We start from the raw sequence: 27,904 nt of genomic DNA, 5'->3' as shown, positions 1-27,904 counted from the left end.
TGGCTTCAAAGCTATGAACAGAAAAGTTAGCAAGAGGAGAATAAGGTTACAGGTGGGGGAGGCTCATTTTAGGAAAGGCAGCCCTATCTCAGATGGAATCAACTGAGCCCTGGCTTCTCCCTCCCAAATCACAGGGAGTGGGTGGAGGAGCACCAGGAGGCAGGCTGGGGAGTCAGCGAACTGTCAGAGGCATTTACTTCTTTCAATGTATTCAAAATTAATTAATTATAGCTGAGGACATTGGGGTATATTTGCAGGGGGTTGAGATGGCACACATGAGGTCTTCCCAGCCCATACTCCCTTGGGGATTTGGGATGTCAAAACACTCAGCAGCACAGACCTCCCAGCTCCCCTCTGACCCTGGGTAAGGTTTGCCATCACCAAATCTGTCTCCTTGTTTATTGTACCCTGAGTCCCTCACAGGGTTGCTGAAAGGGCCAAAATGAAAAACAGATGAGGGACTGTTAAGCTGTACAACGGTGTTCAGACGTGGCGGGATCCTGATCCCATGGGCAGGAATCATGTTTCCTTCCCTGAGTGCATCGTCTTCACAGGCAAAGTTCATGAGGGACCCTCCTTTTTCTTTCCTTCCTCTCACCCCCTTCCCAGGCCACAGGATGCTGCACAGAGGAGGGACAGAAATGACGACTGGGGAAGAAACCTGGATTAGAGCTGGGCCTTGTGACTCATGCTGGAGTCCATTGTATCTACTTCCAAGGAAAATCACACAGTGCTCAATTGGCTGTGGATGTGGGGTCAACTAACGGGCACTGCCTTCCAGTCTTTTATACCCTGGGACTCATTTTCAGTAGTGGCTTCAGAATTTCTACATAGAAGTGACTCAAGAGCTGCAGTCTATTTAAGGGATAGAAGGTGCCGCCACAGGAATTGGAAGCCATGTTAGCAAAGCAAGGATCCTGGTTTTACTTGAGTATGTGCAAATTTGGGATGGCTTTTGGAAACGAGTGGTGATCATGCAGTACAAAAGTTCATGATGCTTGCACTATCAATTTACCTTGGGGACGGAAGATAAAGATGTGATGAGGATTGTTTGGGGGCAAGATTGATGTCACGGCACGAGATCAGATGGGAAGTTTGCAAACCTAGGATAGAATCCAGTCTCCAACAGCAACTATTTGACTTCTCATCTTGAAATAAGGATAGTAGATGAGAGATTATCTAAGACTCCTTTCTTAATCCATCTTCTGCCTCTAGTAGGTCAGGATAGAAACCTTACAAGTAAATCTAGCCTAAGGGACAAAAGCCCCAAATGGTGTCATTGTGTTTTGTCATGTCCCTTGTGTTATTCATTTAATTTTCAAAGGTCAGAGAGAGAACACTAATCCTGAGCCACTTCCTTCAAGAGGCTCCTTATCCATCTCCTGCAAGGTCCAGGGAGAAGAGAGGGGATTGGGCAGTACAAAGGAAGAAACTCATCCTTGCTGAATGTCTACTATTCCAGGCCTCCAGATGCTTCATATTTCTTATCTTGCCAAGTACAAACAATATTAAGATGGCACTAATGACTCTGAGTTCAGAAAGATTAAGTATAATGTTACCAGCTAAAAAGGCCTTCTCCATAGTGGACGCTCCATAAATATCTGTTTCTGAAATAAATGGATGCCAGAGACAGGGTTCGAACCCAGTTTTAATTCAACTCCAAAGCCTGTGCTATTCACACTGCATCCTCAAGCCCAACTTGGAAAGGAAGATGGTGATTGAACTTCTTCAAAGGCTGCCCGTCTTTGGCAAGCTTTGTCCAAAATGTCATTCAGGAGAAACGCTTTTGAGACCTTGCACCAAATAATCAGTGATGACTTCAGTTCCCCACTCCACTGACGAAGCATTCTGCAAGGCACATTGGTTGATTCAAACAAAAGGAAATTTAAAAAGCAAGTATGTTGTGGCACCTGTGGTTGTGTTACAGTAGGTAATTAGTGAGACATGAGCAGGGCAGAAGAGGACCCGCCTCCCCCACCCCCACCACCGGGACTGTCAGGCAACCATCAGGTGTTGGTCAGGCAGTTGTTAAACTGTCTCTCTAAAATAATAATTGGCCTCAGCCAGCACAAGGAAAAGGCCAGCCTCCCAACAGATAAAAACACCTGAAACTGGTGATCAGCAGCTTCCCTATGCGGTCTCAGGAGTTGGGCGAGTGGGCTCAAGCATGTGCGCTAAGAGGCAAAATGGTGGCATTTAACTGGCATATGACCTTCTTCTAGGAACACTTGACTGATAAGGGAAGAAGGCCTCGAGTGAGCATGCATACAACTTCAGAAAACACTGATCGTGCGGCTCCTCCCAAGTGCTGGCAGGCCACTGTGCATGTGGACAGCCCACCCCAAGGGAAGAATCAGGGGAGAAAGGTGCACTCCACCCGCCTGGGAAGCATGCTGATGTATAAAACCCCAAGGTAAAGGTCAAACCACACACTTGAATCTCTCAAGTGGCCTGCTTGGCCCTCTTCCAAGTGTATCTTACTTCCTTTTGTCCCTACTCTAAACCCCCCCCTTTTTTTTTTTTTTTTGAGACAAAGTCTTGCTCTTGTCCCCCAGGGCTGGAGTGCAATGGTGCAATCTCGGCTCACCGCAACCTCTGCCTCCTGGGTTCAAGCGATTCTCCTGCCTCAGCCTCCCGTCTGATCTAAACTTTTTAATAACCTTTCACTCCTGCTGTAAAACTTGCTTCCGTCTCTCCCTCTGCCTTATGACCCTTGGTCGAATTCTTTCTTTTGAGGAGGCAAGAATTGAGGTTGCTGCAGACCCATAAGGATTCGCTGCTGCTAACATACTTTGGTGCTGCGTGACTCGGATATGTTTCCTAGTGCTAACAGTTGCAAGAGATAGAAGCCTACTCAAAGTAGCCTAAAAAAAGGTGGGGCGGGAAAGGGTAATTATAATGCTAGATATTGTTCAGAATTCAAGGGAAGCGCAACAGTTAGACATCAGGAAGGGCAAGAATCAAGGAAATCCAAGGACTTTGAAGGATTGCAAGGACATGTACTAATCTGCCATTCATTCCTCCACTGACTCATTTTGCTCCTCTGCGGTTTGTTGTTGTTGTTGTTGTTTTATGTTTTTTGTTTTTTGAGACAAAATTTTGCTCTTGTTGCCCAGGCTGGAGTGCAATGGAGCAGTCTCAGCTCACTGCAACCTCCGCCTCCCAAGTTCAAGGGATTCTCCTGCCTCAGCCTCCCAAATAGCTGGGATTACAGGTGCCCACCACCACGCCCAGCTAATTTTTTGTATTATTATTATTATTTTTTGAGATGAGGTTTCACTCTTGTTTCCCAGGCTGGAGTGCAATGATGCAATCTCGGCTCACTGCAACCTCTGCCTCCTACATTCAAGCGATTCTCCTGCCTCAGCCTCCCAAGTAACTCGGATTACAGGTACCCAACATCACGCCCAGTTAATTTTTGTATATTTAGTAGAGACGGGCTTTCACCGTGTTGACCAGGCTGGTCTTGAACTTCTGACCTCAGGTGGTCCGCCTGCCTTGGCCTCCCGAAGTGCTGGGATTACAGGAGTGAGCCACTGCACTCTGTGTTGTTTAGGGGAGAACTTTGCAATCTGCAATGTGCATAGGAATCATCTGGAGATCTTGTTAAAATAGAGATTGTGATTCAGGAGTCTAAGATAGGACCAAAGAGTCTACGCTCCTGCAAAGCTTCCAGCTGATATTGATGCTGCTAATTTGTGGACAACATTTGGAGAACTTTGATCATAGTTCATAAGCTCCAATTGTAATCACCTGGAGAAAAAATTGTAAACTATGCCTGGGTTCCACCCCCTTCCCCATTTCCACCCCTCCCATTTTGATTCAGTTGAATGGAAATATGACCTGGTATCAGGATTTTTTTAAAGTTTACCAGGTGATTCTAATGAGCAGCAAAGTTTGAGAGCCACTATCTTAGATATCAGCTGATTCAATGGAGTGGCTCCTCTGGGGCCAGGTGTCCCTCCTAGTCAGGCAGCTGTGGATGGAGGCAGGGCTGAAATTATGAACACATCAGCCACACTCAGGAATATATAGGACAGGTGGTCAAACAGGAAGCAGAAGTGGGCAGGTAGGCAAGGATCAGCACGTCTGGAACAGGAAGGGGCTTGAAGTCCAAGTAACTTGGGTTCAAATCCTGGCATTACCATTTCCCTAGTTATATGCTTTGCTCCAGGAATTCTGATTTCAGAACTCTTTGAGCTTTGATTTCTTTAACGGAAAGATGAAGCCTACAATTCCTGGCCCATATTCCTCTCACCCAGAGAGTGCAGAGTAGAATAAACCAAGAGAGCTTTCTAAGGAAAATGGGCTGGCGTTCCACACCAGAGGCTGCAAATTCAACGAGTCACAGGGTGGTGCCAGGCATGGGTGTTTTTGCAGACTCCTGAGAGGATTCTTATGTGCATCCCTGACCGTGAACCATAGATCGACCGAGATCATGGAACTTAGAGCTGTCCTTGACCCCTTCTACTAAACCCTGCAGGCTAAACCTTCCTAGATAGCTCTGAATCTATGCACCCACCTCATCCCTAGAGACTTACTCAGAGACTAAAGTAGAAATCTCCCTCACTCTTCCTAATTCTTTGCAATCCATCTTCCTCTTAACTGCCAGTATAATATTTTTAACATAGAAACCTGCTCATGTCATTCTCCTGGTCAGGCTAAAGTCCAAAGGCCTTAGAGCAGCATGCAAGGAATTTCATGGTCTGGTCATACCTCATTTTTTACCGCTCACCGTATACCCTTTGCACCTACCATGCTGTCGCCTGTGGGAGTGTTCTGTTCTCTTCTCTTACCTCTGTGTTGCCACCTGGGATATCCCTCTCCATCTCTTCCTGACAAGCTCCTGCTTATCTTCACTCACTTCAACCATCACCTTCTTTCTGGGGACTCCCCAGACCCATCCTGTGCCCCATCAGAGCTTATGGGAGGCATGAGGCCAATTCTATTTTAGGGGCTATAAGGGACATTTCAAAAGATATAGAAATGCCAGAAGAAAGTTACAAAAAAAGTTGTCATTCTATCTTTAGGAATATGTATATTCACTTGGAAACAAATCAAACATTCTAATTTGAGCCCCTTCAAAAATGTTAGAACTGGCCAAATAACCCTTCTGCTCTTTTACCTCCATCAGCCCCACTCTAATGCCCTGCTTTTTAAGTCAGCAGGACACACATCTAGTGCTGCATAAAGTATATCCAAGGGATATATTTGCATAGGTAAGTCTTAAGGGAATTTCTAGGCCCTCAAATTCTATACGTATTTTTTCTTAAAATTGACCTGCCTGAGAAAGTGGTTGTTGATGAGGCCTCACGCTGGTTGGTTTTTTTTTTTTTTTTTCCTTTCCTCTCCTTTTACAATCACATTTCTCTCGTTTTACAAAACATAGGTATACTTCCTACCCAGGCTAAATCTTACTCTAGCTCTGGGCTCCAGTTCCAGGCATAAAAATGTTTGTGGCACCAGACAAAGGGACAACAAGGAAGTTTGTTGTCTGTGAAGTCTTTTTCTTTATCAGTTATCCACAACCACTCCTATCCATCTTCCTAGATTTGTAGTCCTGTTAAAATTTTATTTTTCATGGATAATAATTATTTAAAATTTTACTATAGACATGGTTTTGATCATGCATGTGCTAGTAATGAAGGTAACCATAACTCATACCTAAAGATAAAAAATTTATGAGCCTTGTTTTATTTTTTTTGAAAATAAAAATAAGAATCTCAGTCTATAGCTGTTGTTTTATGACTGAGAAATACGATGGAGGGACAATATAAGACTTTGAGGCATAAAAATATATTACATAAGAGACAAACTCAGTGAGGAAACACAATGTAAATAATTATTTTGATTAAAAAAAAGTGGTGTACAAATTCCAACTCTATTTTTCAAATGGATGTTGGTTGGTAGTAAATCACTAGGGTTTTAATAGTTCATCAGATATATTAAAAAGAGTCATGTAGTAGCTTATTTTTAAATGCCAGTACTTAGAGCAGCTATTACATCCTTTGCAACTATTTAAACTTGTGATTAAAAAAATTTTAGTTGTCAACTTTATAATGTGCAATGTGGATTCATGGTTTAAAAAGAATTTTTGGGAGCATGTGAGCAAAAAAACTGAAAGACCAGTGCTCTAAGAAATGGTAGGCCTCATCTTGAAGTGAGTACCTGAATAACTGGGGCTGGGGATGAAGGGGGCACTGAGTGGCCAGGGAGAGAATTTGGATTCGGGAGAGGATAATGAGTAGAAAAGCTGATCTGGAAGTAGAGGCTGCTTCCCCTGTGATATGGTTTGGCTGTGTCCCCACCCAAATCTTGTCTTGAATTGTAGCTCCCACAATCCTGTGTCATGGGAGGGACCTGGTGGGAGGTAATTGAATTATGGGGGCAGGTTTTTCCCGTGCTGTTCTTGTGATAGTGAATAAGTATCACAAGATCTGATGGTTTTATAAGGGGCAGTTCCCCTGCACATACTCTCTCACCTGCTGCCATGTAAGATGTGCCTTTGCTCCTCCTTCACCTTCTGCTAGGATTGTGAGGCCTCCTCAGCCATGTGGAACTGTAAGTCCATCAAACCTCTTTTTCTTTATGCATTACCCAGTCTCAGGTATTTCTTCACAGCAGCACAAAAATGGACTAATACACCCTGAGAGCAATTGAACAATTCTGGACAGTGTTCAAACGCAGGATAAATGGAGGGAAGAGGTAGGCAGTGATGTTCTGAAGGTCCAACCCAGTAGGCTTAGCCTAACCAGGGTGGGAGGTCTGTCCAGAAGGTGGACAAACCTCAAAGTCAGGTATGTGAGGGGTGATGAGCCTAGATTACAGTTGGGAACCTGGCAAAGATGTCAAGACCTCAAATTAAGGACACTGGGCTTCAGAAGAAGGTCCTCATATTAGGGTTAGGCTAATCAGCAGTTAGGCCATGCAACAAGAAACCCCAGTATCTCAATGGTTTAATACAGCGAGGCTTTTTCCTTCCTCGTGTAACAGTTTGATGACTTAGTGTCATGCCAGACCCCTATTAATCTCAACAGGGAAGGAACCATGTTTGAGAGGCTGAAGAAGAAACCCAGAGCTAGCAAATGAGATATAAATTATTATTAGAGGAAATTTACATGTAGGGATGGTCCAGTGGCAGTGGGCCAGACAGAACTACAACCACTTGCAAATAGTATGTAGTTTATAAAATAGCATTTCCACTTCGCACCCTCCCCTTAACAACCTCCACCTGACAACCTTCATTTAACCCAAAACAGAGGACTATGATCCCCTGTATGGCTCGTGGTCCTTGGGACAGGCTGAGGGTTCAGATGTTCGTCACAGATAAAGAATGAACCTCCAGGCTGGCCACTCCCAGATTCCTGAGCTTGGAACTCTGAACACACATTCAGCTGTGTCTGCCATACAGGGTCATTCTCAGAGTATGCTGAAGTTATTGCTGTCAGGTGCGTTTGCCATATACTCAGGGACCTGGGTCCCTTCCTTCTTAGTCTCCATCTTCTCCAGGAGCCAGAAAAAAAGGAGAGAGAGAGCATCAGGTGGCACTGTTTATGGGCCTTTCATGGAAGTGACACCTGGGGTTACTTCTGCTTATGTTCCTTTGGACAGAATTCAGTTGAATGGTCATACTAGAGGTAAGGGAGTCTGGAAAAAGTGGTCTACTTGAATGTCCAGAAGGTAAATAAATAGGTTTGGTAAACTCCTGATGTTTCCCACCCCTGTCAAACTCTGGGGTCAGGCTTTGGTCTGGGTTAAAAATGCTGATTACCTAATTTCCATAAGCCTGTTTCTTTATCTGCAAAACAGGGATAATAATAGTACCTGTTTTGTAGTGTGAGGATTAAATGAGATGTGGAAGGCACAGGTTTAGGACTCAGTAACTGTTATCTCTCTATACCATTTCCAGGCATTGTGCCAGGCTTTGCAGGATAAAAAGAAGTTAGAGACAGGGACTTTGGATCCAAGTCCTCCCTGACTCAAAACCCAGAGAGGCAGAGGATGCTTGCCACCTTTGACTAGTCCTATCTCCTCCAAAGGGTCCTTTTGATTTATTAGCAAGAAGCCATCTTCTGACCACAAAGACAAGATTTCAAAGTTCTCACCCAGTTCCTAGCTAAAGATGTCCAAAGAGACTTCTAAGCCAATGATTTTCAACAAGGAAATTGAAGTTGTATGCTTTGAAGAGAGGGGCTTGATTGGGTGGCATCTTATGCTTAAGTGTGCATGGAAGAGCCATCCTACATGCAGCATGTGATGGGCCCCCAGGGACTGAGGACTTGTGTATGACTGGGAGTCTACGCAGCTTGGCTTCATATCAGTTCTTGCCATCTCGGATCCAAATGCTCTCCAGGCATGAAGTCATTTCCTCCAAGAGATTTGAAGATGCCCCAGAAGAATCTTAGGCTAAGGTCACTATTCTTAAGCTAAGGTCACTATTCTTATTCCTCTGAGAAAGGTGAAAGGTGGGTTGGGTGCAGTGGCTCACGCCTGTAATCCCAGCACTTTAGGAGGTCGAGGTGGGTGGATCACGAGGTCAAGAGATCGAGACCATCCTGGCCAACACGGTGAAACCCTGCCTCTACTAAAAATACAAAACTTAGCTGGGCATGGTGGCACGTGCCTGTAGTCCCAGCTACTTGGGAGGCTGAGGCAGGAGTCGCTTGAACCCAGGAGGCTGAGGTTGCAGTGAGCTGAGATCGCACCACTGCGCTCCAGCCTGGTAACAGAGTGAGACTCCACCTCAACAACAACAACAACAAAAAGGTGAAAGGTGTTTGATGGATGAAAATAGAGCTGAACCCTAACTTGTAACCACTCAATTTTAACTAGAGGTTGTCACCAAGTAAGAGATGCCCATCGACCTTGTGCACAAAGCTGGCGCTAGTCTATGAACTGTTGGTGAAGTCACACTATGAAACAACGTCTCTACCACCCATTCCCATACCATCAGCCATCCTGCTCTGGCATATGAGCAGGGGAATTCTTTTCCGTCCTCTCTGAAGGAACGAATAGTCTGAAATATTGAATTGGAAAAATGCTCAAGGCATCCATTCTACTCTCGTGGGCCCCATGTAGTTATCTGTTGAAGGCCTCGGATGTGCCAGAGACAATTCATTTGTTGTCATTAGTTCCCCCCACAACCCTCAGAAGTGAGTATACCTTCATGTCACAGATGAGATTATGTTCAAAACGGTTTAGAAGCTGCTCAAGGTCACATACCCACTAGGTGACAGATTTGAATCCAGAATTGTACTCCTCAACACAGAGCCCCCTTCTCACTATGCCGGAGATGCTGAGTTTCTTGGCCTGGGCTGCAGCCCCACACAGCCGGTTTTGAGCTCCCCAGGTGAATCTACTGGGCTCCCTGGGCTGAGAACCACTGCTCTACATCAGCCTTCTTACATGAATCAGGGGTTTTATTCCGCCTTGCATCACAGGTTCCTTTAGGGAAGTAAAAAAAAAAAAAAAAAAAAAAAAAGCTACAAGTCTTCTCTACAGCAAAATAAATGTTTATACATAAAAAGTTGCATACAATTTCAGATAATTATGGCATCTCTGAAGCCTCTGCGTGGATCCCCCAAGGGTCATGAACTTGAATTAAGAGCCAAGTCTATAAATCCTTGACACCAATTACTTGGCTGCAGATGGAAGTTGGCTGGGATCAGTTTAAAAATTCAGATTTCTGGGCCCCATCCAAGAACTACTGATTCAGAATCTCTGGATTTATACTCCTAGATGTTGCTGAATTATTCTTTATATATTAGAGAACAAGACAGTCTGTGGACTGGCTTTTGGGAACCACCCCTCTAAATAATGCCCACTCCAGGGATCAGAATTCATCTCAGCCACTTTTACCTCTGTAACATTAGGTAAGCTACGTGACTCTCCTAACTTTCCATTTTGTCTTCTGTAAATGGGGATAATAATTGTCCCTACCTCATAGAGCTAATATGGAATAAAATATTCCATCTAAGTGTTTAGCACAGTGTCTGGCACATAACTACCCAATAAATGTTAATTTATTACTAATTATATAGTATTATCATTTTATTATCTAGGTAATAATCTCTACAAATGGTCTCTTTGCTACCGAGGTGGGAACAGAATACCATTGCTAGCCAACTGTTAATAAAAATACATGAAAGAAAGGAAAAAATTCAAAGTTTATTCAACATTAAGAATAACAGACAGATAAAGGTTTGGACTTAACAGCATAAATACCACCAATATCATGGTGTACAATTAAACTAACCTCATGTCAACTTGTACCTGTTTAACAGATGCGATCTTTGTGGTGTTGCCAAAAGGATAATGGATTATTGTTATGTTTGGTAAGGTGCTCAAAATTAAAGACTTTATGTCGACTTATTCACACACATACACACACACACACATGCACGCACACACACACACACACACTCTTACACTTAGCCTCCTGCAAAATGTATTGACTTTAGTTGCTATATCCGATTCGGATAAGGCTTTGCTCATTTTTTAAATGACATTATTAATTGCAGAAAAAACGTGGAGGAGACCTTGGCCTTGCCAGTGGGGGTACCTAGGAGCAGAAGGTGATCGCCACCTGGAGGGCAGATCACTTAGTCTCAGACACCTGCAGGGTGCTGAGACCCCAGTGCTAAATCCAGATCTCCAATTGCCATCACACATAGGCAAGCAGGCCTGGTCCCATGCCTTGGGATCGCTCTAATTGACTGTGATAAAGATTGAGTTTTCCTTAAAGGAAGAATAGGGTAAAATGAGATAAACTACTAGAAAAACCAAAGAATAGCTTTGCATTTCACAGAATGTCTATTGTTTTACACTGGGGGCAGTGGGGAGGGTGCCACTGATAATTCTTGCTTCTTCCGAAAACAGACCCTAGACATCTGATTGTACATTTGGAATTACTGTGAGTTCCCCACCAAACCAGTGGGTTAGAAGGAACCTCTGGGTGGTCTAGTACAGGTTTCCATTCCACCCACCCCACTGTGGAATCCCATCTGTACTCTCCTCAAAGGGTCCTTCTGCTTTGAGGGATGGGTCAGTGGAGGCCTGTTGTATTTGAAGACAAAAGGCCTATCACAGTCTTGCCTAATGTGGTATTTGAATGGTTCAAAGTGGCCACTTCCTGAAGAGAAAGAAGTAATGATCTACAGCCCTCCCCTCAACAAACTACCTCCTTAAGGCAGCACCAGCAGAAAGATAGGCTGGTCAATTTTTGCCTTTCTTTGCCAAGTCTAGTTAAAAGAAACAACAATGTGACCTCATCAGGAGGTCCTAAGCTGTTCCTTCCAAATCATGTCTAGATGATGTCAGTATGATATGATTTGGATTCATTGTTAATGGCCAAATAATTAATCTCTGAAAGATGCTTAGGATGAAAAGGTGAAAAATGACAAAGGGACTCTCATAATAGCTGCAGCGTGCAGACATGCGTCTGACTCCGGTTGACCCAAATCACTCAGAGTCAAGCCATGGCCTCCCGCTCCATGAAGCAGATCTGCCTTGTTTGCTAGTTAACTGCCCTGGATGGAGAGGCAGCCAGTCCAGAGGGAGTGTTCGTGTGTGTGTATCGTGACAATGACCTACATATAAGGCACCTGTACAGACTCCAAAGTGTTTAAATTTGTAAGACGAGGTAGGTTTCTGAAACCTCTCCTGGCACACAAGAGAATACATTTTATTAGAATCTTTTTATTTTTTTCTGCAGAAAACATTTGAGATGCTCATTTGATATAAACATCTAATTCCAAGAGAGACCAGTGCTCAAATATAGTTTTTTCAGCTACCATTTGATACGGCCATAAATTTGGATGGTCCATGTTACAATCCTTCCACAATTCTCCACTTAAAGACATCATTTTTCTATGTTTTTAATGACTATTGCCATCTAACAATTCTACAATTCGCCTCTTTGCCTGTAAAAAGGCCAACTCTACGTCCACCTGTGTCTCATATTGCTATCTTTTATTTATCTCTGCTTAAGATTGCAAAAGTTTTTGATTTTATTATTCACCTGAACAATGTATTGCAATTCCAATACACCCCCATCTCTTGCTGTTATCTACAGCTTGTGACAAAATGAACACCTTGTAGAAATATCCTACTGGTTGGGTTTCCCAAGTCTATGACACTATGAGAGAAGCATTGCTGATGGATTGACGAGGAGACCACCAGATCATTAAAGGATTAGATACTCTGAAGGCAGGAAACTAGAAAATCCCATTGATGAAAGGATATTTTAATCTAGCGTAAAATGTTTCTTTGTCGTAACAGCAGAATTTCTTGACATTTTACAACTTAATGAAACAAAAGAACAATCATCTTTAAAGTCAAACATCTATCAAATTATAAACCAAACACATAGCACCGATATCAACCTCATAAAACGTGCGGGCCCGCAGGGTAGAAAAGAACTGTCTGGGGCACTGGCAGCAACGTGCCATTCCAGGAACTCAGAATTTCGAAGTGAACATTTTTGTGGCAGATGCTTTTCCTAAAAAACACTGTATCATCCAATAAATATTTGACTAAAATCCATTTTGTGCTTTTGGGTGACGTTAACTGACTTCTTTCTGAGGCCTAATAAGAAACAAGAAAGCTCCTTGTGTATTTTAGAGCAGGATTCGTCATCACAAGCCTCGATACTGTCATAAAATTTTAATTTAAAGCAGAAAACATGCTGATGTGTCAGTGATAGGGCTTAAAATATTAAAGACTTCAAAAACCCCCAAGCACTTCTTCTCTGTACAACATTGGTGAATATATATCTTTGCTATATAATTTTAAAACATGGAATAGTTTTCCTCTCCTCTTTTCTATATATAATATATGTCTTCCAAAATACATTGTCAGTATTTATATCTGAAAAATACTGTACAAAAAAGAACTTCCTATAATTACTCTGTATAAACATTAAACGATTTAATAATCTCTCCTTTTGGTCTATAGTAAACATTTAAATTGATTGGATTAACCACAGTTTGTGACAACACCATCCCCTTCTGAGATACACCAGTGTCTTTTACATTCATTTTTCAGAAGTCCACTTTATAAGAGCACATACGTTCAAAAGCAAACAGAGAATAAGAAACATAAGCTTCAGAATCATTAATTTATGAGGCATTCAAAAATGACACCACTAGGAAAAAGGGCCTTAGAAAACATCAACTTATTAACTTAATCAACTGATTTTCTTTTTAAAAACAACAAAGTATAATTCACAAAAATATATATATTACCAAAAAGTGGGAAAACTGAATCTTAAGTAACTGTTTTGAATGTCAAGAGGGATATGGAAAAAGTTAACTAGAAAAGTGGGGGCGAGGCAGGGTGTGAGGGAAGGGGAACAACAAAACCGAACACATCAATGTCAAAGGCTAATCCAAGACGCAGTTTTTGGCTCATGTACTGATAAATTAACCCCTCATCCTTAGACCTCCCATTTCCCTCTGCTTCCTTGTCCTAGGGAATAGTCTGGCCATGCTCAAATGCATTACTTTACTTTTTGTTTTTTAAAAGACAGTGAAATTCTTAGGTAGGGAAAATATCCTACGTCCACTAGTAATACTCAGGCAGCATGCTCTAGCGTACAATAGGATTATTGCTTTAGGTACAGACAGTGCAAAAACACACTCTGTGTTCTATTAATAGTACTCTTACTTATCTGGGGTTGGTAGAATTAAAAGGAAACTTAGTAGATAGCAGTAAGTAAATATGGGATCTAATAAATCTAAACAGCACTTTAATTTGAAGACGATTATCACCAAAACTGAAAGTAAGAGGAAAGCAACTTATAAAGGACTAGAGCTGCGGAGTAGTGCTAAGTTATTGTGTGCACCTCATTAGCATGGTAACTTACGGACTAAACAGAAACAAGAGCTTGTACTCTTAAAAACTGAGATCCACTATTTTACCAGGGCCCTTTTTAGTGAATCCAAGCAGAGAGTCCTGGAAGAGTAGGTAAGCTCGAACATGAAGCAAAGCTGAGGAGGCAGGAGTGAAGGAGGGAGGGGATGGGAGACCCGCGAGAGGGCTCCTCAGTCTAGTAAAGACATGGCACCTTTCTTTGTTGGAACTAAAAGACGATGAGAGGGCTACCTTAAAATGGCAAGAGCAAAGGAACACGCACACGCACATACCGCTGACCACACACATGAGCACAAGCACATATACACGCACACACACACAGATGCACACCAAAATGGGAGTCAGTTGTGTTTATGCCTCTGGTAAAGTGCTGATGTCAGAAAGGTTGGTTTGCGTGTGGTGCTATCAGACAGGAAACAAACTGTCCATCTATTCCAAAGCCAGCCTGCAAAAATGCCATCCTACAGGGGCCCGTGCCTGGCCTCATACTTGGCAAGTATGTTCTTGCATTTGCCCAGCTCCTTCCTCAAGTCAGCCACCTCCTGGCGGAGGGCCGAGTTCTCCTTCTCCAGGAACGAGGCCCGGATGGCGATCTGGTTCTCTTTCAGCCTCCGGGCGTCGCGGGAGCGCTTGGCTGCCATGTTGTTCTTTCTGCGCCTTGCCCAGTACTTGTCATCCTGCTCATTAGTTACAGAAGGGAAAAAGAAACAAGATATTAGATTTCAGCAAAGCCCAGTGCCAGCCAGGGCACGGGCAGGCTCCAGGATTGTGCAGAGGTGCCAGCCCGGGTTTCTTAGCTTGTGTCTCCTTCCTTTACAGTTTCTGCATGTCTGAGAGTGTGGCCCATGAGCCACACTTCCTTCTTGGAGCAAGGACCCACCGATCTGTCCCAACAGGCTCCTACTCTTTGCCCAGCAGAGGCGTGCTCAGTGAAGCAGAGATCAGAGGCTGGATGAAAGCAGGTGGCTCACCTCACCCTTAAATTACATTTCAACTTTCTTTACTCTCCCTGCTCAACATTTTAAGAACCCTTTTCCTTCAAGGGCACTCATATGCTTTTTTGGGTATGAGTTGGTACAAAAATTTTAGAAGGCAATTTGGCAATATCTATCAACTATTTAAATGGATATACTATTCATCTAGCACTCCACTTCCAGGATTTTGTCCTGTAGCAATCTCCATACATGTGCATGTACACACAAGCATAAACTGTTCACTGCAGCATTATGTGCAGTAGAAAAAATGAGGAAAAACTATGCATAGGAGATTTAACAACCACGTTATGATACAGTCATACAAAGGGATACTTGGCAGCTGTTAAAAATAATGACCCACCTGCACCAGAAAGATGTTCATATGATATGCCACTATGTGGGTGGAAACAATGACAGTTTACACACAAATATGTATGGTCTCATCCCAGTTTGATTAAAAATCATATATTCATAGAAAGAGGCGCAAAAAGATTTATACTAATCTATAAAGGTGGAGCCTCTAGAAGGGGGATTGGCAGAGGCAAAGATGTAAGACTTTCTACCTTTTATATTATTCTGAACTATTACAATATCATATAATAGATACATACACTTTGGTAATTAAAAATAGAAATTAAAAAAAAAAATCTTCAACCTGCCGCTAATCAATGTACTCATATTGGTGGCCAGAATTTACATAATTTACTCTAATTTCTTGTTTAACCATTCTCTAGGCCTTAATTAGCCTGAGTAATATTTTACTGTGGTCAGTGTAAAAACAATCCCTCCTTCCCTGCCCTCCACCCCCACTGCTGCCTCCCTGACAGAAAGGAAAAACTTCTTAAGAAGACTAAGAAACAGGGATCTTCTTTTAGATCTTCCCAATTCACTGATGGTGGCACCTGGTGAATTTTGCAACTCCCCTTTTTCAACAATTTGCAACAGCAAATCCCTCAGTCCTAGCAATGCTACTACCTGCAGTTACATGCCACCCAGAATAAATGGGTCAGGCCAGTGCTTGCACCCCTCAGAATTCCAAGGGGCAGTTGGCATTGAAGGAGGTCACATGGGTTGGGGCCAAAGCTGCAAGGAAAGTCTAAGGTCAGCGGTCCACCCCCAAAACTGCCCATTACCCTCAACAGGCATTTGCCCTGCACAAATACAGAAAGTGTGGGATAGAAACTGTGTAGATACCTCCTATCTGCCATCCACAAACTAGTACTATCATCTTAAATAAAGCACCCCCAGCTTTTTATACATTTCATAACAATATGCAACAGGGTAAAAAAACGATTTTCAAAATAGATGTTACCAGAATTCTTCTGGGTAGGAGGGAGGAGGCTGCTCTTTGAAGAATACCTGGGTGAGCAAGCTAGGGCAGGTGTGCAATGGTTGTTGGCCGAATTTGTTGTCTGTGCTTCTGAAAGCGAGCAGGGGAGCTGGAGGCAGGGGAGAGGCTGGGAGGAGTCAGGCGAGTCAATGACGTCATGGTGGTGAGGGGGCCCAAAGTGGTGAAGCCTCCAGTTAACAACAGTGGTGAAGCCTCCAGTTCTGATGGAAGTTATTTGTGTTTTGATAGAAGCCTGGGTTCCAATCCCTTCACAGTATCAGTAAATCTATACCCAACAATGTGCCTGGGAGTGCGGTTTCCAAGAGCACTCAAAAGAGGACTTGATTTAGGATGTATCAGAGTCTGCACACGGGGGAACAGGAGCCCAGGAGGCGAAGGGGTACATAAGAACAAGCCCCTGGAACACTGTAGAAACTGCATGTATGTGATGGGGGAGGAATGGGGGGTCCCACCATAGGCCACAGGCTTGATGTGGTGTAAGACAATTCTGACCAGGTCTTAATGACCAGGGAGTCACCAGCTGACTTCAGGGTAACAACCAACTTCTCTCTAACTTATTAGAGCTCTTCTCACTTCTAAAGTGCTCTCATTTCCCAGCCTCACCTGTCCACACATGCAGATGAGCCAGCCAAGGTGTGGAATGCAAAACAAACCTTTCAGGTGGGAGGGAGGGGAGCTGGGAACCGGGTCCAGAAGAGGATACAGAAGGCAGGAATGACGAAAGGAGTGTCCTGGACTAGAAAAGCCTGCTCGCCTCCCTTTGTTATCGCAGAAGGGTTGCGGGCAGGGGGGAAGCGGGATTTTGAGCGGGGCTGATAAACTTGGCACTCCATCCTCTGCCCCCTTTCCCTCTCCCAGTTGCTGATGCCATCTGGCTACCCAGTTACCTCCATGCAACAAGGGACCCACTTAGCCCCGCCCCACCCAACAGATCAACACTCCCTGTTTCTCACCAGACTACAAGTTCCATGAAGGCAGGAACAGTATCAGTATTGGCTCACCTCGGTATTCCCAGCCCCTGATACAGGGTTAGAGGGTTGGCACACACTAGCATTTGAAAAAATTCATCAAGTGAATGAATGGACCATTAAAAGCATTTAAAAAATCAAGGTAATTAAATGGATTTTCAGCTAGGTACCCCAGCATGTCAACCTCAATTCTCCCTTCTTTCTCCAGCGCATGCATGCTAACCCTAATGATTGGCTCAAGAGAGGAAGTTCAGGCAGCTACAGGGAAGATCATTTTTAGTGGGGCCATTTCATTGAACTGGTTTACTTGTCCAATGCTGGGGGCCAGAAACACCTTCTCCTCCATCTACCCTTAGCTCAGACCTTTCTGCCAGAAGGAGAAACATGTTACAGCTCTGCTTCCTGCTTTATATTAGCTCATGGTCTTTAGTTTGAGACTTCGTCCACAACTAAAAAATATCCAAGGACACCTGGCAGGACAATGTTCCTGCCCATTCCCCACCTGCTATGTGGAAAGGTCAGGCCTGACCATGACAGCAGCAATATGTGTAATTCCAGCACAGACGGTTTTTGTCTGGCCTCTTTGTTGCCAAGGTTACCTGGGTTATTAACTAATCTTGCTCTTTGATAAATCTGGAGACTTTGTGAAAGTCTGGCTGGAAGTTCTGTCTATCACTCATAGCAGCATCCTTTCAAACTACCCTCCATTCAAGAGAAAATCCAGGTTGAACAGGATCCCTGGCTTTAGTTTAAGATACGAGGCTTTAAAATACACAAAAAAGGCCGGGCGCGGTGGCTTACACCTGTAATCCCAGCACTTTGGAAGACCGAGGTGGGCAGATCACAAGGTCAGGAGATCGAGACCATCCTGGCGAACACGGTGAAATCCCGTCTCTACTAAAAATACAAAAAATTAGCCGGGCGTGGTGGCGTGCGCCTGTAGTCTCAGTTACTCAGGAGGCTAAGGCATGAGGATGGCTTGAACCGGGGAGGCGGAGCTTGCAGTGAGCTGAGATCGTGCCACTGCACTCCAGCCTGGGCAACAGAGTGCGACTCCATCTCAAAAAAAAAAAAAAAAAAAACACCATAAAAAATTGGATCACTAAGAAGACAAGACTAGGAAAGGCATCTCATTGAAATAAGGTACCTAATTGCCCAAGACCTGAGCCCATGGTGCCCCTTTTTTACCCCATCTCAGTCTAACCATCAATGTCCTGACTAGTTTAGATTTTCTGGTGTTTTTACCATGTGATTTCCTTTTTTGATTCTCAGGGTGACAGCCATTGATTTGTCACCCATGGGCCCCCGTTATAGCCCTTGTCAGGGCCAACATGCTGCTGTGACCTTTTGGGAAGCAAGACAACCTGGGAGCCAGGCTAAGCCTTTCTCTAACAGGTAGTGATCCGCTGACTTCAGCTTTCCATTTTCTGCATTTCCTCAACTGCAAGTGGTAATTTTGGACAAATGAATCTCTAAGGTCCCCTTCAGCCCTGATGTTTTCCTATTCTGCATCAATTAAGGTAATCTCAGGAATGTGGATGACAGCAGTGATTTAAATTTGCCAGGTACTTCTGCTTCCAGCATTTTTTCTAGCTATGTAAAGCAGGAACAACTGGTCTAAGCCAGTTCAGACGTTGTCTCAAATTCCTATTTCCCAGCCTAGGAGTGTCTCTACATAGGAACAATAGTTAGGTTTGAGAGATGGGGGGCAGACAGTAGAAAAGGGCTAATTATGCCTGGTTCCAAGGCCTTGACTACATAATAATCATATCTCTAGTACCCACATGATTGGAAAGAAGCATGAAAGTTCTAAGCAATGGTTAATAAGAAATGGTTCTATTTTGGCATTAGCAGACATGGCATAATTTTGGAAAGAATTTTCATCCTAAGATGTCATTATTGTGTCTGGTTAATTTTGTTTTAAGCTGTATTTGACTTCCAAGGTAAATCTATTTCCCTTTATAAATAAGGTGTCCCTTCAACACTGCAGAGAAAACCTACTTAGAATTAATCTAGCGGTGAGATATTCAAGTGATCGTTACTTAAGATACATATAAATGGTGTCAGGGAACTACCAGTTTCCTTCACAAAATCCCACCCTGGTCATCCAAGGTTGGCAATATGGAGGAAGGTCCTATCTCTGGCTGTTATTCCTCGCAGCCTACAGGGAAATGGCAGCAGCAAATTATCAAAAATTTTCTAAAAGGAAGGTAACCCTTCGAGGGCAATGAGGTTCAGATGCCCTTCTCAAATGATTTTCTTTCTCTTCTCAACCTTGAAAGATGTGGGGTTTAATTTTATTAGACTTTTGTGGGTTTCCATGCAGATAGGAGCAGGTTTGTTTCCTTCATGGGTTTAAAATCACTCCAACATTTTACTGCTTCTCCTTGTTTCTGTTCAGCATCAAGACATAAAAGTGCATTTCAAAAAATACCCAGAGAGGAAACAACTGGCCTAGAAGTCACATGCCAAGAAACAGGATCAGAAATCAGAAATCCTTCATGCACTAGCTTCTGGGATCATCCTGGGGTCACCCTTTTAATCTGTCTGTGGATCCCACTCTCCATTTGCCCAAAGACTGATTACCAGTTCCAATTTACCTTCAGGTCATCAGGGATGAAGACTTTGCGAGCTTTCTTGATCATGGGCTGTGGCTTCAGTTCTTCCTCAGAGAACTTGCGTTTGCGAGGGTCAAACATTTCCTGGCCAGGGATGCTGGAAAGGGCAAGATCTGCTGGGTCTGGCTCATAACCCACTGGGACCTGGATGGTGTCAGGATCAATGGGACTTGGTGTATTGCGGTTTGCTGGCAACAGCTGACCTGGAACAACACAGGAGTTTTAATTCATGAACACCCTAGAGAGACCCAGTAGGCAGCTACTTAATGGTGCTCTGAGATGAGTGGTAAGAGTCTTCAGCTCACTTATATATGATGCTAACATGATTTATCTTACTCATCCGCACTGCATTTCTGAGAACACAGCAGGTTGAGTATGACTTGACTCACGTCACATCAGGCAAAACAGAAACCCACATACACATGTTCAAAAACTAGAGAAGGAGAAGCCCAATTTAAAAATACACATTCATTCTTTCCTATCACACAGCGATGTGCCAGGCACTCTGCAAGATGCAATGAACAGAACTACGTAATTTTCACCTTGAGGGTGGTTTCCAGGTGAGTCAGGGAGACAGACCAATAACTAGCCAGTTAGGGGAGAGTACAGATGTTGGGATGGAAGTAATTCTCATGTGCTTCCACAGTGTGAGGAAATGGTACGTAACACAAAGGAGGTTAGGGAGCATTTCCTAGAGATGACTCTTGGTACAGCCGCATCTTGAGACAAAGAGTAATTAGCAAAAAAAGGGTATTCTAGGTGCCAAGACAAGACAGAGGTTTGCATTTTTGCAGAACCACGTATAGTCTTGGGTAGCTGTCACATTGAATCAGAAGAAAACAGAGTGGGGAGAGGTGCAAGCACAAGAGATGTGGCCAAGAAGGTGGGCAGTGGGGATATGATTTTGAACAATCCAAATGTCAGTGAGAGATGCTGAGCAGTGAAGTGACAAAGAGCTGATGTTTGGAAAGAAGAATCAGGCAGCATGATGAACGGATTGCATGAGCCACGGCTGCAGACTGATGAGATGCAAGGCTGTTGTGATAAACAGTGTACACATTAACGGTAGCAATGGAGATAGTGAGAAGGAGATTAGTTCAAGAAATATTTAACAAATTAGAAAGAACATAATAGAGACAATCTAACTTCCACTTGAGGGTCCTACAGGCAAAACCACTGAAATGCACAAACATCCAGAGAACAATGGGTTTCTTGTGTTTCTCAATGTGTCTTACTGGTGAAAGTGAACTTCATACCAGACCCAAATGTTTATACTGGGAGCTCTGAATTTTAACTTCTAGTTTTCATCTGAATTTTACAATCACTCCTCTCACGCCCCATGAATAAATGAGAGGATGTCGTTCAGCTGTGTTTGGCCCATCTCCCCCTCTTCCTCACTGCCAATGGTAGGTCAATGTGTGAAGTATTCTTTAGGTTTCATTAAAACCTACCCCAGGTCGAAGCATGAAGCCACTGGCTCGGATTCTAGCAAAACTGTGAAACCGTGATCATCTGTCTTCTGGAAAGGCCTGGTGGGGAGTTTGCAAAATGAATGCTCTGGGTGACCTTCTAGGTCCCACTCTGCTTTGCGCTCTCTTTGTATCCTGCTTGCCAAAGAGGAAGAGATGGGCCCTGAGGTGCTGGCAGAGGATGGAGAGTTCTCATTAGCCAAGCTGTAGCTCAGCTCCAGCTTCTAGAGACTGCTGAGTTCTGTACTGGATGGTGTCAAGCTAGATTTGATCTTGTGCCTCTTGAGATTGCCTCAGAAAATGAACCACCTGTGATTCAAATGGGGATTTTATTTTCCCTTTAGAAACTCTTTGAACTTAATAACAAAGCTACCCAATGCCAATGCCCCATCACTACAATGTCCCCACCTCCCCATTCTTACACAGGCATGTGCACCCATCTCCTATCATCATGTAACACCTCTTAATACTTCCCAAATCGAATTGCTCCAAGCTCCTCCTTAGTACTCCAATATTGTTTATTATGCTGTATCAAAATGTTCTCCTTTATTGCTTTATGTTCTTAAGCTGTACACACACACACACACACACACACACACACGCACACACCTCCTCCTCTACCATACCACATGGTCTTTTATGTTTTATTCATTTATCCCCACCTGACTCCTCACCATGATGCATACTTCAGAGTTCAGCTTCTACAAAGACTGCTCCTCATTTAATGATGGCCTCTGAGATGCTGGACTCTGACATTCATTCATGGACATTCTAACAATAACACTTCCCATTCAGGTGGAACCTTTCTTGACATTCTTTCTCTCTAGGTTTTTCCTCCAATGGAAGTAGGTCAGCCCTACCTGCAGAGTGGAGAAACCTAACTGGACCACAGACAAGGTACGTGGCTTCCCCAGTATCAAACAGCAAATGGCAAAGGACCTGCGAAACAAAACCAGGTCCCGTTTCTCCCCAAAGATACCTTAGTGCCATCTTATATATTTATATTTTCTGCTGAATTAACTCTACTAAACTCATTTTTTCCTTTCATTTCAAAATGTCAATAGTATCAAAAGTAAGGGGTATTTTTTCCTATCTCCTGTGGATTTTCAAAATTTTAGTATAAGAATTGTCAATATAAGAATGCATCATTAATTTTTTAAATGATCAAAGATGTTCGCTGCGAAATGTTAACAAATACAGGAATGTGTAAAGAGAGTGAAAGTCCTGGTTCTTGCTATTCTCCTCTTCCCCCAGTCTCACTCACTGTCTTTCCAGAGGTGATCACCCTTAACATCTTGACGTGAACCTCTTATATCTTGGTTTTTACACATAAGTGATTTAACCCAAATGGTATTATACTACCCACATATCTCAAGTTACTTTTTTAATCTATCAATATACCATATGCAATTTCCAATGTTAGTACAAATAAAACTACTTTTTCTTTTTAAAGGGTCAAGAGGATCCCATAGTTTGGATATATAACGATGTATAATTCCTCAACTGATGGATTTTTAGGTATATGTTTTTATAGAAGTGATTTCTAGAAGTGAGACTGCTCACGCAAGAGGCATGTACATTTTATATTTTTAAACATACTGCCAGAATGGCTATTAAAAAGTCAAGAAATAACAGATGTTGGTGAGGTTGCAGAGAAAAGGGAACATTCATATACTGTTGGTGGGAATATAAATTAGTTCAGCCCCTGTGGAAAGCAGTTTGGAGAGTTCTCAAAGAACTAAAAATAGAATTACCACTTGGCCTAGCAACGCATTACTGGATTTATACCCAAAGGAACATAAATCCTTCAATCAAAAAGACACCTGCACTCGCATGTTCATCGCAGCGCTATTCACAATAGCAAAGACACGGAATCAACCTAGGTGCCATCTCTAGTGGGTTGGATAAAGAAAATGTGATACATCTACACCACGGAATACTATGTATCCATTAAAAAGAATCAAATAATGCCCCTTGCAGCAACACAGATGCAGCTGGCGGCCATCATCCTAAATGAATTAACACAGAAAACCAAATACTGCATGTTTTCACTTCTAAGTAGGAACTAAACATTGGGTACACACAGACATAATGCTGGGAACAGTAGACACTGAGGGCTCTAAAAAGGTGGAGGAAGTGAGTGGGGCAAGGTGTGAAAAGGATCTATTAGGTACTATGTTCACTCTCTGCATGAAGGGTTCAATCAAAGGCCAAATCTCAGCATCACGTAGTATATTCATGTAACAAACCTGCACATGTACCCACTGAATCTAAAATTAAAAATAATAATAAATTTTAAAAACCTACTGCCAAACTGTGCTCCAAAAAATGTCATAGCTATTTACACTTGCACCACCATTTGTAAGAGTGCACGTGTCACACAATATGATTTTTTAAATGTTGGCAATCTGATATGCACAACTATTACTATTGTTTTGTTTTTGTTTTTTTTTCTTTGAGACAGACTCTCGCTCTGTCACCCAGGCTGGAGTGCAGTGGCGTGATCTTGGCTCACTGCAACCTCCACCCCCTGGATTCAAGCCATTCTCCTGCCTCAGCCTCCCGAGTAGCTGGGTCTACAGGCGCCCGCCACCACGCCCGGCTAATTTTTTTTTGTATTTTAAGTAGAGACTAAAATTGTTTTGTATTTTTTAGTAGAGACTACTCTTAGTAGAGGGTTTCACCATGTTGGCCAGGCTGGTCTTACTATTGTTATAATTTCCATTTCCCTTGTTACTGGTGACACTGAACATCTTGCATGTTTATTGGTTATTTGTTCTTTTTAGAAAATTTTCTAAGGTACTTTTATACATATACTCTTCTAGGTAAACTTCAGAATACATTAGTTAAGTTATATTTAAAGTTACCGTTTTAAATATAATAATATTTGGCATTTTTGAATTACAATTTCACAGGTAAATTTGAGGACAACTATCTTTAAAATATTGAATACACCCACAGTATGCTCTCCATTTTTATTTTTTGTGGGCTTTTTTAAAAACATGTATCAGTTTAGTTTTATAGTTTTCTTTATTTTAGCCTTTCACATTTCAGTTTATTCCTTAAATGTATTATAAGAGTTGTTACTAGGGTATATTACCCTATTATATTTCCTAAGCGGTTACTGCTGCTATATAGGAAGCTACTGGTTTTAAAAGTTACTGGTTTATATCCAGCCACTTTACTTTCTTATTAGTTCTAATAGTTCTAACAGTTCTAACATCTCTTAGTTTTTAGGTGAACAATCTCATCTTCTGCCTCTATAGACAGAGGTGGCATCCTTTCTATGTTTATAATTCCTACTTTCTTTTTAATAATTTTCAGTCTCACTGCATTAGCCGGTTTCTGCAAGACAATGAGAAGAAAGAGAGACTGAGACTAATGATCACTGCTTGTCCCAGACTTTAAAGGAATATGCTTTTAATTCTTCAGATCCTTCAATATAAAGGCTTGTTCTAGTATCTTAGTAGATACAACTTGACAAAGTAAGGCAGTTCCAATTCTTCCAACCTTGTTTTACTAATAATTTTTAAAACCAGAAATAATGTATTAAGTTCTCTTAAATGCCTTTTGATATTTATTTATTGAGATAATCATGCCATTTTTTCTCCTGTATTTGTTAAGTCTGAGCTTGGTATTTCCAAAGCTTTATTTAAAAGATCCATAGTGGACAAGATCAACCCCATCATGTAGCCTCTGCAGTTACTGGAACATTGTTTTTCGTTTTTTTTGTTTTTCTTTCTAAAAGCTTCTTGCTGAAAGTCACTTCCAGAAGAACCAAGGAGGGTTTCTGGAGGAAAGGGTGGAACAAAGGGCTTAAAGAAATCTGGAAAAAGAATAGAAGTTACCTTCAAACCCAAAGTTGGCCTCTACTTTTGTCACAGATTAGGCAAGGCTAAACCTCCAAATAGTATAACTGGAAACAGGATATTTCATATTCTTTCGTATTTTAGCAAGAATTTAGCAGCTTGTGTTCAATTAGCTCATTAGCAAGCAGCCATCAATGAAGGGGAACAGCAGCACTCTGTCTTTATCTCTTCTCTAGTCAGTGGTTTATGTTTTAAATTGATGTCTGCATCAAAGTCACAAATTATAGTGTTACTTATTATTTCATCCTAAAGGCTAATTGCAACACCTCCAATCTTTCTGATGTGCTCCTCATTCAGGCAGTTAATAAAGCAGGAGATTTGCAGCAGTAACGTCAAAACACAGTAGTCTAATGTTGATCACTGATGAGCATTAGCCAGCTGATAACATTATCCTCTATCAATTAAGGCTGAGGAAAGAGAAGACAATTTTTATTTTGGCCAAAGGGTTTCCTTTAGAGCTGATGAGTGAAACTCCTAGTGATTCAAAGTTTGGTGCCGAATCTTTCCCTCCTGCTCACCTCTGCCCTCCTCCTCATCACCAGTTTAGGGTCTGTTCACTTGTCATGACTTCCTGGATCCCACGTAGCCATAATCTGAAATAGTGCTTTTACCCTCTTGGCATCCCTCGATGATGATACCATCATCAGGGATTACAGCTGACTTTGCTACAAACCATGCCTGCCTCTGAAAATCCTTTTACATTCAGGGAGCCAATCAACTTAGGAGATGATAGCAACACTATAAGGTCAACGAAGAGTGCTCACGATATATACAAAGATTAAATTAAAACCTCACAAATACAGCCTAAGGATATGGGCTTTCGGGACTCAGGCCATATTAGCTGGTCTCCATTCCCGCAGCAGGAATCTGTTATTTGTCCAACAAGTCCTTTCTGCAAAAGCTTAACACTAACGTCCTGATGGCCAAAGGCTCATTCCTAACCCATTCATGTCCTATTCCATGGGACCTGCACTTCCAGGCAGAGCCTATTTCCCTACCTCTTGCATCTGGGCTGGTCTCTGACTTGCACTGGCCAACAGAATGTGGCAGAAATGATAGTGTTAGTTCTGAGGCTGGGCCTAAAGAGGCTTTGCATGTTTCTGCCCCTTTTCTGTAGCACTTCTGTCATTACCATAAACATGCCCAGTCTAGCCTGCTGGAAAATGAAAGAAGAGGCCAGCCTAGGTCAGCTTAAATCACCTGAACTCTAGATATGTGAGTCCGGCCAAGATCAGCAGAGCCACCTGAGCAACCCATAGCAATTACAGATGAGTGAACAATAAGCCTTTATTTGTGTACGGTGAGTTTCTGTGATTGTCTGGTAAACATTCTCATTGCAATGGAGACTGACCTATAAGCTGAGTTATTGCATAGGGGGAGAGTGTTTACACCCACAATAACATTATAGCAGGATTTAAATTTGTACAGGACAGTCGTTTTACGCTGTGAAGTGAGTCAGACCTGGGTCTGAATGCTGATTCTGTCACCTGTATGTTATAAACTTGGGCCTTTGTAAATAAATGACCCCCAAAAAATGCCCCTCTAAATCCTAATAAGGTCTGTATTGGGGAAAGGGACTATCGTTGACTTTTTCCCCCTTCTTTTCTTAACCTACCTGAGTTTCAATTCCCTTATGTGTAAAAGGAGATTACTATGCCTGATTCTATGTGAAAAATGAACTAGATAATACATACAAAGTGCTTAGCACAATCTGTAGTACCCGGAAAGTGTGCAATAAATGGTCTCTATATAAACACATATACAAAATACAGATAATAGTTCAGAGATACTTGAAAGTAAATCAAATAAACAGACTATTCCCCTTGTCTAAGCCAGCACTGTCTGTCCTCTGAACTACTGCAACTTTTAACCATTATCCCTTTTCTATCTCCCACGTCTCCACAGCGGTACACTGTGATAATTCTAAACATGCAGACCCGTGTGGGTCACATCTCCATATCAAACCCTCCCAAGGCTTCCCATTGCCACATATGATCAGATCCACGGCTCTACCTCACTCACACACTTGGCCACACTGGCCTTCCTTCTGCTCCTTGCGTCCCCTGAATGTGATCCCACCCAGGCCTTTGTATTTAGTTTCCTCTCTACCTAAAGCATTCTTCCTCTGCTCTCTGCCTACCTAGTCCTCCTACGTTATGTAGACATTAGCATAAATGCCAATTCCTCGAACCCTCTGACTTTCCTCTACCCCTGCTCAATACCCATCAAACAACTCTGTTTGATGTTTTTTTTTTTTTTTTACAATATTTATCTCCATCCCAAACGATCTTTTTTATTTGTTTGATATTGCTGATCTCTTCCCTCCACTCCCATGTAAGCCCCACAGAACAGTGACCTGGCCTTACCTGCTGCTGCCCCAGATTCTAGATGGAACCTGCATGGAGGGGACAGCACGAGCTACTGAGCAGCTGGACATAACACCCCCCAGATCCTAACAGGGACTTTTGGGAGGAACAGGGGCAAATTTTAATTCTTATTTTCAATATTTTGCAAATTGTCTATAATGAGGATCTTCACTTTCAAAATCAGAAATTAAAAATGTTATTTTTTTCACTTTGTGCATGTATGTTCCAGGAGTCTGTGTTAAATGCTACTGAGAGAAGGCTGGGCATGGTGGCTCATGCTTGTAATGCCAGCACTTTGGGAGGCCAAGGCAGGCAGATCACTTGAGGCCAGGAGTTCGAGACCACCCTGGGTAACACGGTGAATCCCTGTCTCTATTAAAAAATAATAATAATAATAATAAATAATTAGCTGGGCAT

The 27,904-nt window shown here is 42.6% G+C and overlaps 1 protein-coding gene across 4 annotated transcripts in view, besides 2 other annotated features; it reads right to left on the bottom strand.

Annotated features, from left to right (window-relative positions):
* Positions 7,191 to 7,485: an enhancer, noted in NCBI's record as "tiled region #10605; HepG2 Activating DNase matched - State 5:Enh". NCBI's record gives its function as "activates a minimal TATA promoter and a strong SV40 promoter by Sharpr-MPRA in HepG2 cells {active_cell/tissue: HepG2}" and the evidence as "EXISTENCE:reporter gene assay evidence [ECO:0000049][PMID:27701403]".
* Positions 10,026 to 27,904, bottom strand: part of HLF (HLF transcription factor, PAR bZIP family member) — a 60,228-nt gene continuing 42,349 nt past the window's right edge. For 2 of the 4 annotated variants that reach the window (NM_002126.5, NM_001330375.2), the window contains exons 3-4: positions 19,766 to 19,986; positions 10,026 to 14,549 (exon numbers count right to left, since the gene is read on the bottom strand). In NM_002126.5, the coding sequence (NP_002117.1) occupies positions 14,334 to 14,549; positions 19,766 to 19,986 (437 nt within the window). In that variant the 3' untranslated portion in view covers positions 10,026 to 14,333. Of the gene's footprint in view, positions 14,553 to 19,765; positions 19,987 to 27,904 lie in introns of all 4 variants that reach the window. The other 2 variants (XM_005257269.3, XM_047435895.1) reach the window with 1 other exon arrangement.
* Positions 14,035 to 14,535: an enhancer, noted in NCBI's record as "H3K4me1 hESC enhancer chr17:53398039-53398539 (GRCh37/hg19 assembly coordinates)". NCBI's record gives its function as "activates a minimal SCP1, AML or CMV promoter by ChIP-STARR-seq in naive H9 embryonic stem cells {active_cell/tissue: H9 hESC(naive)}" and the evidence as "EXISTENCE:reporter gene assay evidence [ECO:0000049][PMID:30033119]".

This window comes from Homo sapiens, chromosome 17 (genome assembly GCF_000001405.40).
Source record: "Homo sapiens chromosome 17, GRCh38.p14 Primary Assembly".
Taxonomy (NCBI): domain Eukaryota; kingdom Metazoa; phylum Chordata; class Mammalia; order Primates; family Hominidae; genus Homo; species Homo sapiens.
This window is presented reverse-complemented; position numbering and strand designations above follow the sequence as displayed.